The sequence below is a fragment of the Homo sapiens genome, chromosome 1 (genome assembly GCF_000001405.40).
Source record: "Homo sapiens chromosome 1, GRCh38.p14 Primary Assembly".
NCBI classification, from domain to species: Eukaryota; Metazoa; Chordata; class Mammalia; order Primates; family Hominidae; genus Homo; species Homo sapiens.
Window position 1 is genome coordinate 25444423 of NC_000001.11, and position 15223 is coordinate 25459645.

The 15223-nt window shown below is 38.4% G+C and overlaps 1 protein-coding gene across 3 annotated transcripts in view, besides 1 other annotated feature; it reads left to right on the top strand.

Moving 5' to 3' along the window:
* Positions 1 to 15223, top strand: part of MACO1 (macoilin 1) — a 69313-nt gene that overhangs the window by 13526 nt on the left and 40564 nt on the right. For 2 of the 3 annotated variants that reach the window (NM_018202.6, XM_005245931.3), the window contains exons 2-6: positions 2340 to 2481; positions 4386 to 4512; positions 9837 to 9960; positions 12231 to 12409; positions 13969 to 14470. In NM_018202.6, the coding sequence (NP_060672.2) occupies positions 2340 to 2481; positions 4386 to 4512; positions 9837 to 9960; positions 12231 to 12409; positions 13969 to 14470 (1074 nt within the window). The remainder of the gene's footprint in view (positions 1 to 2339; positions 2482 to 4385; positions 4513 to 9836; positions 9961 to 12230; positions 12410 to 13968; positions 14471 to 15223) is intronic. The other variant, NM_001282564.2, reaches the window with a different exon arrangement.
* Positions 3216 to 3455: an enhancer, noted in NCBI's record as "active region_458". NCBI's record gives its function as "activates an Ori minimal core promoter by ATAC-STARR-seq in GM12878 lymphoblastoid cells {active_cell/tissue: GM12878}" and the evidence as "EXISTENCE:reporter gene assay evidence [ECO:0000049][PMID:35858748]".

Genomic DNA, 15223 nt, shown 5'->3' on the forward strand with positions numbered 1-15223 from the left:
TGAAACCATGGTGGAGAGGCTGTTATTCCTTTTTCAAAACGTAGAAAGGGTTCTAGACACAAGGAAAAAAACTCTTAGTTTTAAAGTCAAGCACCTTGGAAATCTAGTTTCAAACTAGATTTGTGCTCCCGAATACCTGCATGAGTCAGTTGTGTTTTTTTGTTTGTTTTTGTTTTTGTTTTGAGACAGGGTCTTGCTCTGTCACCCAGGCTGGAGTGCAGTGGCACAGTCGTGGCTCACTGCAGCGTGGACCTCCCAGGTTCAAACAATTCTTTTACCTCAGCCTTCTGAGTAGCTGGGACTACAAGTGTGTGCCACTACACCTGGCTAATTTTTAAATTTTTTGTACAGATGGGGTCTCACTATGTTGCCCAGGCTGGTCTCGAACTCCTGGACACCTTGGCCACCCAAAGTGTTGGGATTACAGATATAAGCCACTGTGCCTGGCCCTCGTTTGTTCTTTGTAATAAAATGTGCATTGCTCTCCACTAGGTCAGTTATGGATTTAATGAGTGAGAATTACGAGGGCTCTATCTTCATCTGGCCAGCAGAACTCTAGTGAAATGAAACTAAAAGGTGGGACTTAGGATTCAAGACTGTGTTCTGGCCAGGCACATACCTGAAATCCCAACACTTTGGGAGGGTGAGACAGGAGGAGCCCAGGAGTTTGAGACCAGCCTGGGTAACATGGTGAGACTCCCATCTCTATTAAAAAAAAAAAAAAAAAAAAGCCAAACATGGTGGCGCATGCCTATATTACCACCTACTTGGGAAGCTGAGGTAGAAGGATCACTTGAGCCCAGTAGATTGAGGCTGCTGTGAGCTATGATCGTGCCATTGCACTCCATCCTGGGAGACAGCTCAAGACCCTGTCTCAAAAAAAAAAAAAAAAGATTGCGTTCTTTTGTGATTTGCTTTGGATTCCTTTATGGCATACCTCTTAGTAGAAACTTATTATCAAACCTAAAGAAGTTCTAAGGATAAATATTAGAAATCGACCCTAGATGACAAATTATGTATCACTGTGAATACTGTATCATTGAGGGTCAAATGTTTCTGTTCTTGACATCTCTTGCCTGAATGGCTTCAAAGGGCACAAAATAAATCCTCAATGCTGGATCCTACTTTTTTTTTCTTTTTTCTTTTTTTCTCTTTTCTTTTTATTATTTTACTTTAAGTTCTTGCTTTTGTTTTTGTTTTTTTCCTCCAAGTATGTAAGTCTTTTGTATCTTATTGGAATATATTTCAAAATTATTTATTAAAAATCTCAATTTTGTTGTTTTTTTAAATGACTAATTTGATCACATCAGTATTGGAATATTTGTATTACAAAATACCGTGCAAGGCTTTATCCCAAATGAAAGTGAATTTTAGGTATTTCCATTTTGTATATTGTGGAAAATATTTTTTAATACCTAAATTTGACCTCCAGAATTGGCAGGATTAGGAGCACAGAAATAGAGGCTTGTTAACAAGTAGAATCTAAAGGATTCTATTGTCCATTATGCAACTAATGAACTGGAAAATTGACCTATAGAGTATATGAAAAATAATATTTTTTTTCTGTGTCCTTGTTTGACCTACTGCAGTGGTTACATATGTGTCCTAACTGGCTTGTCTGAGTGTTTCTGTTTAACACAAGTCCAGAGGGAACTGGGAACACACATTTATATCTCAGCTGGAGCATGGCTTAGATGTTTAAGGAGTTTTTTCTTTAATGTACATTTTTATGCCTTCACAGCCCTTGGTAGTGATTAGCATCTGCTCCCTAAGTTTGTTTCTGTCTATTTGGGGAAGTCATTTGGTTTTTGTTTGGTTAATGCAGATGAATACTATATACAGAGGCAAGAGGAAAAAAGGGGGAAAAAAAGACAGAATTCTTTAAGCATGTAAGGATGTGCGTCAAGAATTTCAAAGACTCTTCAAACAGATGTATAGGGGTGGGGAAACAGCAAATTTGAAGCCTTTCAACTGTGACATTTTCTTCTAATGAAAAACAGCTTGAAAGCTGTAATTTTGAGAGTGTTGCAGTATTTTGAAGTCAGACACTTAGCACATTTTTAAAATAGTGGTGGGATTTAAATGGTTTTTTTCCATCTTAAGTAGAATTAAGCGTTTTTGGTATCATCTTATCTTGATAGTTTTGGGTCTGAGAATGAACACCAGAGCATTTAAAATGCAGATGGGCCACGGCAGCATCTCTTTTTTGTGCTTTATCTCCATTGTTTTCATGATATATGGAGGTATTTTTTTGTCGTTTTAAACAGAAACAGTGAATTTTCTATTTCTAGTTATTCACAAATGACCTTAAATTAATTCTTTATTTTTATATTTTGCAGTACATTTTTATACCTGAAATTCCTGGTGGTGTGGGCACTTGTCCTCCTAGCAGATTTTGTCCTGGAGTTCAGATTTGAATACCTGTGGCCATTCTGGCTTTTCATCAGAAGCGTCTATGATTCCTTCAGATACCAGGGACTGGTATGTCTGGTAATACATGTTTTCCATGTGTGGGGACCATTCAGCTGTTTAGAGTAGATGTTATTAGCAATACTCAGGTAACTATGTTAGGATTAGCTAATAGGGTCTGTTAACTGAAATTGACCTCTAAACTATTTTGTCTAAACCCATTGATCAAATAGTTACATTTTCTCCTCCTCTCCCATTCCAGTGAAACAGAACAGTGGAGGAAGCAATAATTACTCAGGCTTTTGGAGGGCGGCAACCTAGTCTGGGGATGGCATATTCCCTCCTCTTCCATTTCCCATTGCAACCATAAAGGCCGTTCCTACCTTAAAAAAAAAATTGCTCAGTCCTGCTTTGAAGTGTTTCTGGGTTCCCTGTTGCTAGGTTAGTGATTGGATTGGAGTTAGAGTAGTGTTTCAAACGTTTTGGTCTCAGGGCCCCTTTTCACTCGTAAAAACTATTGAGGACTCCAGAGAGCCTTTGTTAATGTGGCTTATATCTATCCAGATTTACTGTATTAGAAATTAAAACTGAGAAAAATTTAAAATACACACTTATTAATGCACTTAAACATCATAATAAGCCCATTACACGTTAATAGAAATTACATTTTTAAGTGAAAAATAGTTATATTTTCTAAAACAAACAGAATATAGAAGAGTGGCTCCATTTTTGTAAATCTCTTTAATATTTGGCTCAATGGAAGACACCTACATTCTCATATCTGCTTCTGAAGTCAGTCTGTTACTGTATCACATGTCATGTAACTTACAGAAAATTCCACCATATGCATGAGTGAGTGTAAAAAAGGCAGATAACATCTTAGTATTGTTATGAAAATAGTTTTAACCTCAAAGAGCCCTTGGAGGGATCTCAAAGACACCCCAGAAATCCCCAAACCACATTTAGACAGCTGCTGGATTGGAGCAAGCATAGGCCTGGGCTTGTTCCCTTGATTAATGTGTTAATTCTGTTGTGTTCTACAGCCACATCTTAAAACTATAACTCCCACCCAGGCCTGGTGCTTTGGTCAGAGCAAATCTATGCTTTAAAAAGATAGTTTCGGCTTATGTTCTATTGGCGGTAGTGGTGTCCAGAGGAAAGCTGCATTATTAAAATTATTATTAGTTTGGTGCAATTACTTTTGCACCAACCTAATAGCATCAGTATATTTCTTACTAATATTATGGTTCATCTGTGCTCCAGACAGCCTGTCTTTTAAGAATGAAGCTCTTTAGGAATGGTTTGTGAGGAGAGAGAAGACTTTTCTGTATTAAAATTCTAGTTTTTTCAGGGCCAGACGTGGTGGTTCACACCTGTAATCCCAGCACTTTGGGAGGCCAAGGCGGGCGGATCACAAGGTCAGGGGATTGAGACCACCCTAGCTAACATGGTGAAACCCTGTCTCTACTAAAGTTACAAAAAATTAGTTGGGTGTAGTGGCAAGTGCCTACAGTTGCAGCTACTCAAGAGGCCGAGGCAGAAGAATCGCTTGAACCCGGGAGGTGGAGGTTGCAGTGAGCCAAGATCGCACCACTGCACTCCAGCCTGGGTGACAGAGCGAGACTCCATCTCAAAAAAGAAAAAAGAAAAAAAAAATTCTAGTTCTTTCAGGTAACCCACATTTATTTGGAATCCAAATGAATTCACTGTGTTCCCACCTCAGCTCATTCTGATCCAGTTCTTTTTCATGATTTGAGGACCATAAAGTACTAGTATTCTTTAATGTTAAAGTAACCGCTACTTTTTATATGGTTGATTTTAAATGTTTAAAATTTCCTTTTGTGAATTTGCTTTACAGTTACCAAGTTATCTCTTAGCAGTTTCAATAATTTTGTCCAACATGTGTTTAACAATGTGTGGTTGAAAATAACAGGTTCTAAGATGTATCTTTTATTTTGTTTTATTTTTCCCTTTAGGCCTTCTCAGTATTTTTTGTTTGTGTAGCATTCACGTCAAATATAATATGCCTGCTGTTCATCCCCATACAGTGGCTTTTTTTTGCTGCTAGCACATATGTATGGGTTCAGTACGTATGGCACACAGGTAAGTCTTAATGATTTCTTAGATGGATAGAAATCTTAGATTCAAATTTTTAAATGTGGTTATTTCTTTGAATACATTATTTAGAGTTGAGTTTAATGTGGACATTTTAAAGTTTTCTTTTCTTAATAGGTTATAATATACCTTCAAAAATATATATCTTTTTTCGTTATTTGAATACAAACTTTAAGCTGTTATGATTTGATATTTTAATTACAGGCATTGCAGGTACCAGCTCTCACTCTGAATATATCTTTTTAAAAAAAAAATAGTTGGACTGATTTCTATGTAGGTATACTTGAAGACAGCCATGTGCCAAAAAAGAAAAAAAAATGTTCATGGAATTTCATCATTGAAAGGAATGTCATTTAGATGAACCCTTAATTTGGCAAAAGAATCCTCACAGCATCCCTGACACGTGGTGGTTTTACCTCTGATGGAAAACCTACAGTGACAAGGAACTTACCTACTGTTCCTGGTACCCTACTCTGTTTTTGGGCAGCTATAAAATAAAGTTATTCCTCATATTAAGCCAGAATTTTCTTCCTTAAATTTTGACCCAGTATGTCTTCACTGTTTTTGGGCTCGTTGATTTCTTTTTTAAAAATTTCTATTTTTTTTTAAGATGGGGTCTCACTATGTTGCCCAGGCTGGACTTGAACTCCTGGGCTCAAATGATCCTCCCACCTCAGCCTCCTAAGTATCTGGACTAAGCCACAGCTTGCTGATTTCTTAGAGGATCTAAAGAGGCTTTCCCAGAAAAATATAAGGGAATGTATAAAACTTTTCCTTAAAATGTCAAGGGGGCCAGGCGCAGTGGCTCACGCCTGTAATCCCAGCACTTTGGGAGGCTGAGGCAGGCAGATCACCTGAGGTCAGGAGTTTGAAACCAACCTGGTCAACATGGTGAAACCCCACCTCTACTAAAAATACAAAAATTAGCTGGGTGTGGTGGCACATGCCTGTAATCCCAGCTACTCGGGTGGCCAAGGCAAGAGAATCGCTTGAACCCGGGAGACAGAGGTGGCAGTGAGCTGAGACTGCGCCACTGCACTCCAGCCTGGGTGACAGAGCGAGACTCCATCTCAAAAAACACACAACAAAACAACACAAAATAAAAAAAATATTAAGGGCCCTACCAGACCATCGCCTCAATCCCAAACATTGAACCTCTGCATTAGAGCCACACTGAATGAATGTAATCTCCCTTCCACGTTAACATTTCTTTAGAGATTTAAAGACACTGTCATAACCTCTTAAGTCTTTTCTGTAGGCAAGAACACCTCTGGTTTCATCATCTTTTCCTTATATATTTTAAGCACTTTCACCCTCCTCGTCTGCCTGCCTCAGTGGTTCTCTACACTGTGGCAGGTATGTTCTGACTAGAGTAGAGCTCCCTACTTCTTAGAGCTATACTTCTGTCACTTCAGACTAAGATCAGATGAGATATTTTGACAGCCTCAGCCCACCGTGAAAGCCAGAGCTTGGTATGCACTAGGATTTGAGGATTGGCTGTCAGAGTCAAATTTGTCTGCAAAGCTGCATGAAACTTGATTCTTGGGCCTAGCTACAACCTGTAGGATTTTGACCAGAGAGGGAGCACCAAATAATAATAAAAGCTGTCTGGACCAATATTCATCCTCTTCTCAGAACTGCTAAGATAATGATGTTGGCCCATGTAGAAGACACAGTTGAGCTGTATTTTTTAAAGTATCTGCTATGAGCATGATTTTCTCCATGTTTCACACTCTTTCATATCTGACTTGATTTATAAGCTACTATGAAGGTTCTTTAGTCTGCTTTCCTCTAATTAAAGTGATTTTTCTTCCCACCAGTTTTTAATTTGTATTTTCTTATCCTGGGCCTCAGTTTCTAGTGAGCTGCCTTTTACACTCGTCACTCTCCCTAGGTCTCAGCTTCTCTGTTATATAAAGGTGTAGTAATCTAAATAATGGCTAAAGAACCTTCCACCTCAAATATTCTGTGACTTTGATGAGCTGTGGCGATTTCTTAAATTTCTTTAGTAATATCTTAGTAGTGGAGAAGAAACTAACCATATAACTATTAATAGAACCTATTGGAAACTAGTTCAGTGGTTGACCCACAGGGCAGCAGTGTAGCTAATGTCATAAAATGCTACTGGCCCATCTTTAGCCCTAGGCTCAGAAATGCATATTGGAATAGCTAAGTTATGAAATATGTTTTAATTTGGGATGACTAGTGCTTAAACAAACGAAACAAAAAACTACTCTTATTGGGCTGACAAATATGAGTGCAATTCCTATAACTTGGGGTAGTTGTTAAAATTTAAAATTATTTCCTGACAATATTAGGAATGGTTGATGAAATTACATATGATTACAAAGAATAATATTGTAGCATAAGCTTTTTTCCTGGTGGTTAAGAGGGGAAAAAAACAGGATATAAAACTGTACGTACAATATGATTATTATACTTGCTCAAAAATGCTTTCAATGTGATTTTGTTTATTTCATAGATGTAGAATACAGGTATTTTGTCTAATTTTTCTATTTTTTTCTGTAATGTGCTTATTATGTTTATAATAACCTTATAAATTAATATAGAGAATAGGGCAGATAAATATTTGAAAATGCATTTTGAAATGATTTTGAAAATGCATTGTTCTGTGGGTTGCTGTTCTTCCTCCTACATTGTGAAAATACCTATTTTTGGGCTGGGCACAGTGGCTCACACCTGCAATCCCAGCACTTTGGGAGGCCAAGGCGGGTGGATCATTTGAATTCAGGAGTTCAAAACCAACCTGGCCAAAATGGCGAAACTTGTCTCTACTAAAAATACAAAAATTAGCCAGGCATGGTGGTGTGTGCCTGTAATCCCAGCTGCTCAGGAGGCTGAGGCAGGAAAATCGCTTGAACCCAGGAGGCAGAGGTTGCAGTGAGCTGAGATTGCACCTGTACTTCACTGCACTCCAGCACTCCACTGCACTCCAGCCTGGGCGACAGAGCGAGACTCTGTCTCCAAAAAAAAAAGAAAAAAGAAAAAAAAAAGAAAAGGAAAAAAAGTACCTATTTTTGATATGTTAAATTCATAAGAGTGGTTGAGACCATTAGCTGGCTTCACAGAGCATCCAGTGACAACTTCACTCAGGTACTAGGACTAAGGGAGGTTCTCCTTAGAAGCAGATTTAGTACTGTCTCTGTGAACTTGGGCCCAGTTTATTTAAACTCTGGGGTTTACTCTTCAACAAAATGAGGAAGTTAGACAAAATGATCTTCCTAGTTTGAAGATACTATGATTTTTCTTTAGTTTCATCCCAAAGATCCTTAGCAAAAAGCCTTCAGGTCACTGATTTTTTCCCCCTCGTGCCCATGTAGTCCACATTCATAAATATCCCGTTATTAGTCATGTCCTGATATAGATGGACCTAGCCTGCAGATTTTGATTCGAAAAGCCAGTGGACATTTGCCTTTATTTGCATCTTATTTTGTTGCAAGTTGCTTTTTCCTCCCTTGAAAATTGTTTTTAATTACAAAGGGAATATGAGTTTGTGCTTCAGAAAAAATTTTTTTGAACAGTACTTAAGTGTCAGAAACATTTCTTTGTCCTACAACTTGTTCTTACTTAAGGATTATTTTTTTTATGTCATTCCATGACAATGCAGATCTTCCTCATTCTTTAGGAACCTTCAACATATTTCATTATATAGATTTATCATAAACAGTTTCCTGTTGATGAACATTTAAATTCTAAATTTTTGCTATTGCAAATAATATTACGGTGAATTGTTTTTTTTTTTTTTTTGAGGCAGAGTCTCGCTCTGTTGCCCAGGCTTGAGTGCAGTGGCGCAATCTCGGCTCACTGCAACCTCCGCCTCCTGGGTTCAAGCAATTCCCTTGCCTCAGCCTCCCGAGTAACTGGAATTACAGGTGTGCACCACCATGCCCAGCTAATTTTTGTGTTTTTAGTAGAGATGGGGTTTCACCATGTTAGTCAGGCTGGTCTTGAACTCCTGACCTCGTGATCCACCCACCTTGGCCTCCCAAAGTGCTGGGATTACAAGCATGAGCCACCACGCCTGGCCCTACAGTGAATTTTTTTTTTTTTTTTTTGAGATGGAGTTTCGCTCTTGTTGCCCAGGCTGAAGTGCAATGATGCAATCTCGGCTCACCGCAACCTCTGCCTCCCGGGTTCAAGCGATTCTCCTGCCTTAGCCTCCCAAGTAGCTGAGATTACAGGCGCCTGCCACCACGCCCGGCTAATGTTTGTATTTTTAGTAGAAACAGGGTTTTGCCATGTTGGCCAGGCTGGTCTTGACTCCCGACCTCAGGTGATCCGCCCTCCTCGGCCTCCCAAAGTGCTGGGATTACAGGTGTGAGCCACTGCGCCCAGCCCAGTGAATATTTTTATGTATTTATCTCAAGACTCTTTTATGTTTCTATGGGGTAGATTCTTAGAAGTGGAATTTCTGGGCCGGGCACGGTGGCTCACGCCTGTAATCCCAGCACTTTGGGAGGCTGAGGTGGGCGGATCACGAGGTCAGCAGATGGAGACCATCCTGGCTAACACGGTGAAACCCTGTCTCTACTAAAAATACAAAAAATTAGCCGGTCGTGGTGGTGGGCGCCTATAGTCCCAGCTATTTGAGAGGTTGAGGCAGGAGAATTGCTTGAACCTGAGAGGCGGAGCTTGCAGTGAGCCGAGATCACGCCACTGCACTCCAGCCTGGGCGACAGAGTGAGACTCCCTCAAAAAAAAAAAAAAAAAAAAAGAAGTGGAATTTCTGGGTAAAAGAAAGGTACAAGTATTTAAATTTAAATATACTGCCAAATTGCTATCTAAAATGGTTGTCCCAATTTATATTATTGCCGAGTATGAAAATGAACCTTTGCCCATACCCTCCCTATGCTATTATCTGTCTTTAAAAATTTTATCTAATAGTTAAGAAAATGGAATCTGATTGGTTTAATTTGTATTTCTCTAATCAGTAGTTAACATCTTTTTCTATGTTTTTTAGCCATCTGTATTCTTTTGTGACTCGTAAATTATTTTCTTTAGTTAGCTTTTTATTGATTTGTAGGAGCTCTTTGTATGTCAGGGCTATGAATCCTTTGTTTTACATACATTGTAAATATTTTTTGCCAGGATGTTTGTCTTTTATTTTTGTCAGCGATTCTGTGGAATCATTTGTCATATAAAAGCTTTCAGTTTGGATCAGTTTGCCTTTTAATTTAGTTTAGGTGAAGGTCTTAATGAAAGTTACTGTCGTCAAATTAGTCTCCCAAACAATCCATCTGTTAGTTACTATATCGTTTATTAATGCTTGCCTCTCTGCTGCTTTCTCACAGAAAGGGGAGTGTGTTTGCCTACAGTGTCTCTCTGGATCCTCTTTGTTTATATTGAAGCAGCCATTAGATTTAAAGATCTCAAAAACTTTCATGTAGACCTTTGTCGTCCATTTGCTGCTCACTGGTAAGTATTACATAAATGTATGTGTGTGTGTGTGTATATGTGTGTATGTATATATATGTGTGTGTGTGTGTGTGTGTGTGTGTGTGTGTATATATATATATATATATTTTTTTTTTTTTTAGACGGAGTCTTGCTCTGTCACCCAGGCTGGAATGCAGTGGCACGATCTTGGTTATGCAACCTCTGCCTCCCGGCTTCAAGCGATTTTCCTGCCTCAGCCTCCCAAGTAGCTGGGATTACAGGCGCGTGCCACCACACCTGGCTAATTTTTGTATTTTTAGTAGAGACAGGGTTTCATCATATTGGCCAGACTGGTCTCGAACTCCTGACCTCAAGTGATCCACCTGCCTCAGCCTCCCAAAGTGCTGGGATTATAGGTGTGAGCCAGTGCACCCAGCCAGTATTATATATATTCTTTGTCTATAATTCATTTCACTGTAGAATGTTAAGTTCAACTGTAAATTTATTCTTAGAAATTTTACATGGATCCAGAAAGCAGTACAGCATGGTTGGAAAGACCATGAGCCCCCCCTTTTCAGGCAGATGAGTGAATCCCAGCTCTGTCCTCTGACAGCTTGTGTTGCCTTGTCACTGCCTCTAAGCCATGGTTTTCTTACCTGCCTCACTGGGTCATGGGAAAAAGGAACTGAAGTGATACATGTATTCAACTTAATGCCAAGCACATAGGTGTCTGATGAATGTTAGCTATGTTTATTATAATCAGGTAATGATTCCAGAAGGTCTTGATGAAATATATGGCTAATTCATGAAACTTAAAATAATTTAGAATTTCCTTAGCCTATTTATAAAAGTAAGAGAATATTATTAATAATTTTTGAATGAATATTATTTCTCTTTATGTTAATGAATATTAAGATATTATTCATTTAATCTTAACCATGAAACATTTTTGAAAAATGAGCTTGGTTCTTATTTAGATCTATTGTGGAACTTACCACCTAATGTATGTTTCTCCTAAACACACCAATTTTTACTAATATTTATGGCAGAAACCAAAATAAACAGTAATCAACTAAAAAAATACTGTTTCCAGTATTTTTAGTCTTTTTACAAACAAGTAAATTAAATGAACTTGGTCAGTAAAACATGTCACCGTAAGTTTGTAGTGAGACCACATTTAGACTAATTATAAATTGATACATTTTCATGTTAGTGAAACTTATATGGGCTTGACAGTGTTTGCAGAGGCTTTGAAATGATGTTAGGCAGGCTGGTAAGTTCAATGAAAATATTTAACTTTCTATCCCAGAGATTAGAGTTCTAAGTACAGCTGGTTTAATTTGGTGATACAAACCAAATCTTGGCACTGATCATATCGGATACTTATTTAAATGATTCTTGAATTTATGTATGACAGAATTTATATATGACAGAGTGTTTGTGAACCAATCTTCAAGGAATAGCTGGTGACAGTACCCCTCAGGCAGCAAGAAGATTAAATTAGTCACCTGAATTTGACCCTGCCTTCTAGTATTGAAAATCAAATGATGTCCTTGTGATTTTTTTTTTTAACACTTATGTTTACTTTTGGCTACCTGTAAAGTCTCTACCCTTTTAGTTTTTAAAAGCATACAGGCCAGGCGTGGTGGCTCACACCTGTAATCCCAGCACTTTGGGAGGCCAAGGCGAGTGGATCACGAGGTCGAGAGATCGAGACCATCCTGGCCAACATGGTGAAACCCTGTCTCTACTAAAATTACAAAAATTAGCTGGGCATGGTGATGCAGGCCTGTAGTCCCAGCTACTCAGGAGGCTGAGGCAGGAGAATCACTTGAACCCGAGAGGCGGAGGTTGCAGTGAGCCGAGATCACACCACTGCACTCCAGCCTGGGCAACAGAGCGAGACTCCATTTCAAAAAAAAAAAAAAAAGGGTACAGGTATCTGCCTAAGTTCTAATGCATAAGGCAGTTTCTTCAATATTTCTTCAAAGGCATTATTAGCCACTGTATCTGACAGTCACTGTGGTGACTCCTTGAATTAATTTGAAGAATGCCAACGTCTAATGGGAAGTGTCGTCTTACGGTCTAGCAGTCCTGTTGTTCCTGGGGGTTTTGTTCTGTGTGCCAGTTGCTTCTGATTTCCACAGTAGACATTACATTTATTTGTGTGTCTAGTGAATGCTCTTCTCAACTACCATCATCAATTAGAATTTATTTTTAATTTTTAAGCCATAGGTATTCTCATGTGCTTGAGGCACATGTGGTTCATTTTAAACCTACAATTACTGGCTGGATTGTCTTCTTTCTAGTATTGGGTACCCTGTGGTAACTTTGGGGTTTGGCTTCAAAAGTTACGTAAGCTACAAAATGCGGTTAAGGAAGCAAAAAGAAGTACAAAAAGAGAACGAGTTTTACATGCAACTTCTTCAACAAGCTCTCCCTCCAGAGCAACAGATGCTACAGAAGCAAGAAAAAGAGGCCGAGGAAGGTAGGTCTTTACCCTAAAGCTGTTGGCTCAATAGGCTAGTCATTATTTTGTCTCTTGGTAGAATTTTCTTTTCTGGAAAAGTAGCTAGGATTTTGTTTTTTTCTGTCTAATGGTGTTCCTCCTCAGGGTCATTGTTTTATTTGGTCAATGAAATACAGATGGTGAATGAAGTTTTTTACATACTGTCTGAAGACTATGTGTTTAAATATGTTTATTTTATTATTTTAAAATATATTTATATCTTTTTTATATTTTAATTCTGATTTTTTTTTAAATTTAGTTTTTTGAGACAGGGAGGGTCTCACTCTGTTGCCTAAGCTGGAGTGCAGTGATAACAGTTAGGGACCACTGCAGCCTCAAACTCCTGGGAGCAAAGTAATCCTCCCTCCTCAGCCTCCTGAGCAGCTGCTACCATGGGCACGTGCCACCATGCCTGGCTAATTTTTTTTAATTATTTTTTTGTAGAGATGAGGTCTCACTGTGTTGTTCAGGCTAGTCTCAAACTCCTGATCTCAAGCAATCCTCCCACCTCCACCTTCTGAAGTGTAGGGATTACAGGCATGAGCCACTATGCCCAGCCTGTTTTACGTATTTTAAAATATATATTCTCAGCAACAAAATACTATGGAACTATGTGAACTGGTAATTGAAGCAAGCCAAGAACCAAAGTATAAGCACAATGGAGATGTAGACATGTAGAATTGAACTTCAGAAGCCAGATGTCTTCTGAATAGAGCCAAGATGGATAGGTCGTGTTCTAAATGCTTCATATAATGTAATGCAGATTTTAAATTGAACCATTTCTAATGGAATCTCTCTCATGGGCATTTGACCAATAGAAATAGATAATTGGCAGTAGCTAGTTTCCATTGGTTTGAAAGTTGAAAGTTTGAGGTCATGTTTTTATTTAATATATTTCAAAATTTTCTTTTTGTGTGATGTGGTGCAAAAATATCTCTTCAAGTAGACCTTAATAAATTGGAATGTGTAGACCCAATACACAAAATTCTTTCTGAGTGGTCTGGTAAATGATACAGACTTCCTTATTACCTCAACACTAGAGTCCAGAAAAAGGATAGATGTCCTGTATCCTAAAATTATTCCTCTTCTTTTGTTTCATTTAACCTCTTTCTTTTCAGTAAAGTTATTAACAGTTCGTTTACTCCAGGCACTTAAAAAAATATGACTTCTTAGGATCTGCCTTTGTCCTCTCACCTCAGTGATAGGCGAGTTTGATTTGACTAATACACAAAGTGTGACCTAATTATAAAACCCTGATCTTGTTTTCAAGACTAGACCTTTAGTGGCCATCATTTTCATAAATGATGATGATTTTCTAAATGTAGAGTTTCTCAAATGTATTTGGATTTTCTTCTATTTTTTCCTACATCTTCTAGTAAACTATGAGGATTTGCTTCTTGATTAGCGTATAATGAGTGTGCAAACTAATGTGAATTTCTTAAGTGTAGATAATAGTTTGTTGAATTAATCTGTGTTGTTAAACAACTAAATATTCCGGTGGGGGCTTTTTGTTTGTTGGTTTGTTTTTGGTATTGTAGCAGCCAAAGGATTACCTGATATGGATTCTTCGATCCTTATACACCACAATGGAGGTATCCCAGCCAACAAAAAACTCTCCACAACTTTGCCAGAGATAGAATACCGAGAAAAAGGGAAAGAAAAGGACAAGGATGCCAAAAAACACAACCTTGGAATAAATAACAACAATATTCTACAACCTGTAGACTCTAAAATACAAGAGATTGAGTATATGGAAAACCATATCAATAGTAAAAGATTAAATAATGATCTTGTGGGAAGTACAGAAAATCTCTTGAAAGAGGACTCATGCACTGCTTCCTCAAAAAATTACAAAAATGCCAGTGGAGTTGTGAACTCTTCACCTCGAAGTCATAGCGCCACAAATGGGAGCATTCCTTCCTCATCTAGTAAAAATGAGAAGAAGCAGAAATGCACTAGCAAGAGCCCAAGTACACACAAGGACTTAATGGAAAACTGTATTCCTAATAACCAGCTAAGCAAACCAGACGCACTGGTCAGGTAAGTGCACATGCTGCATCCTTACTAACACTTTCCAGTAAACTTGACATACTCTTGACATACTCCCATATGGGCCTGTAGGGATTGTTTGTAATCAGATATTGTGACTAGTGACGTGTGGTGTTTTACATGAGTTTGTTGGCCACCTTGTGTTATTGTGTTGAAGCATTGATTTCAGCTCTTTGCAGTGTTCTGAATAATGAGTGACACTGATTACTTCCCACATGTGACAAATTGACCTGTAACTTGATTCTTCTAGTCGTGTTGTAAGGCACTTCTTTGGTCCTTGTCCTTTTCTGTTTGCATGTCCAGAGTTCTCTTGGCGTAAACACAAAAAGAAGAGTTTGTGCTTGTTCACGCAAATCTCTGTCAAACAGATATACATTGCAGGAGAGGGGTGAGAAAGTTGTCCTTACTACTTTGTGCTTGTTTTGTTTTTCTGTTTGTTTTTCTGCACTTAGAATATGAATTATCCTAGATAACTCTGGGAAAGTTAGATTTGAAAAGCAATCTCTTTCACAAAAATCCATGGAGAAACAGTGTTAGACACAAAGTTTAATTAGGAATGTTGCTTTTCTCATTTTAATTAAAAGAATTTTTTTTTTTTTTTGAGACGGAGTCTTGCTCTATTGCCCAGGCTGGCACGATCTCGGCTCACTGCAACCTCCGCCTCCTGGCTCCAAGTGATTCTCCTGCCTCAGCCTCCCAACTAACTGGGATTATAGGTGCTTGCCGCCACGCCAGGCTAATTTT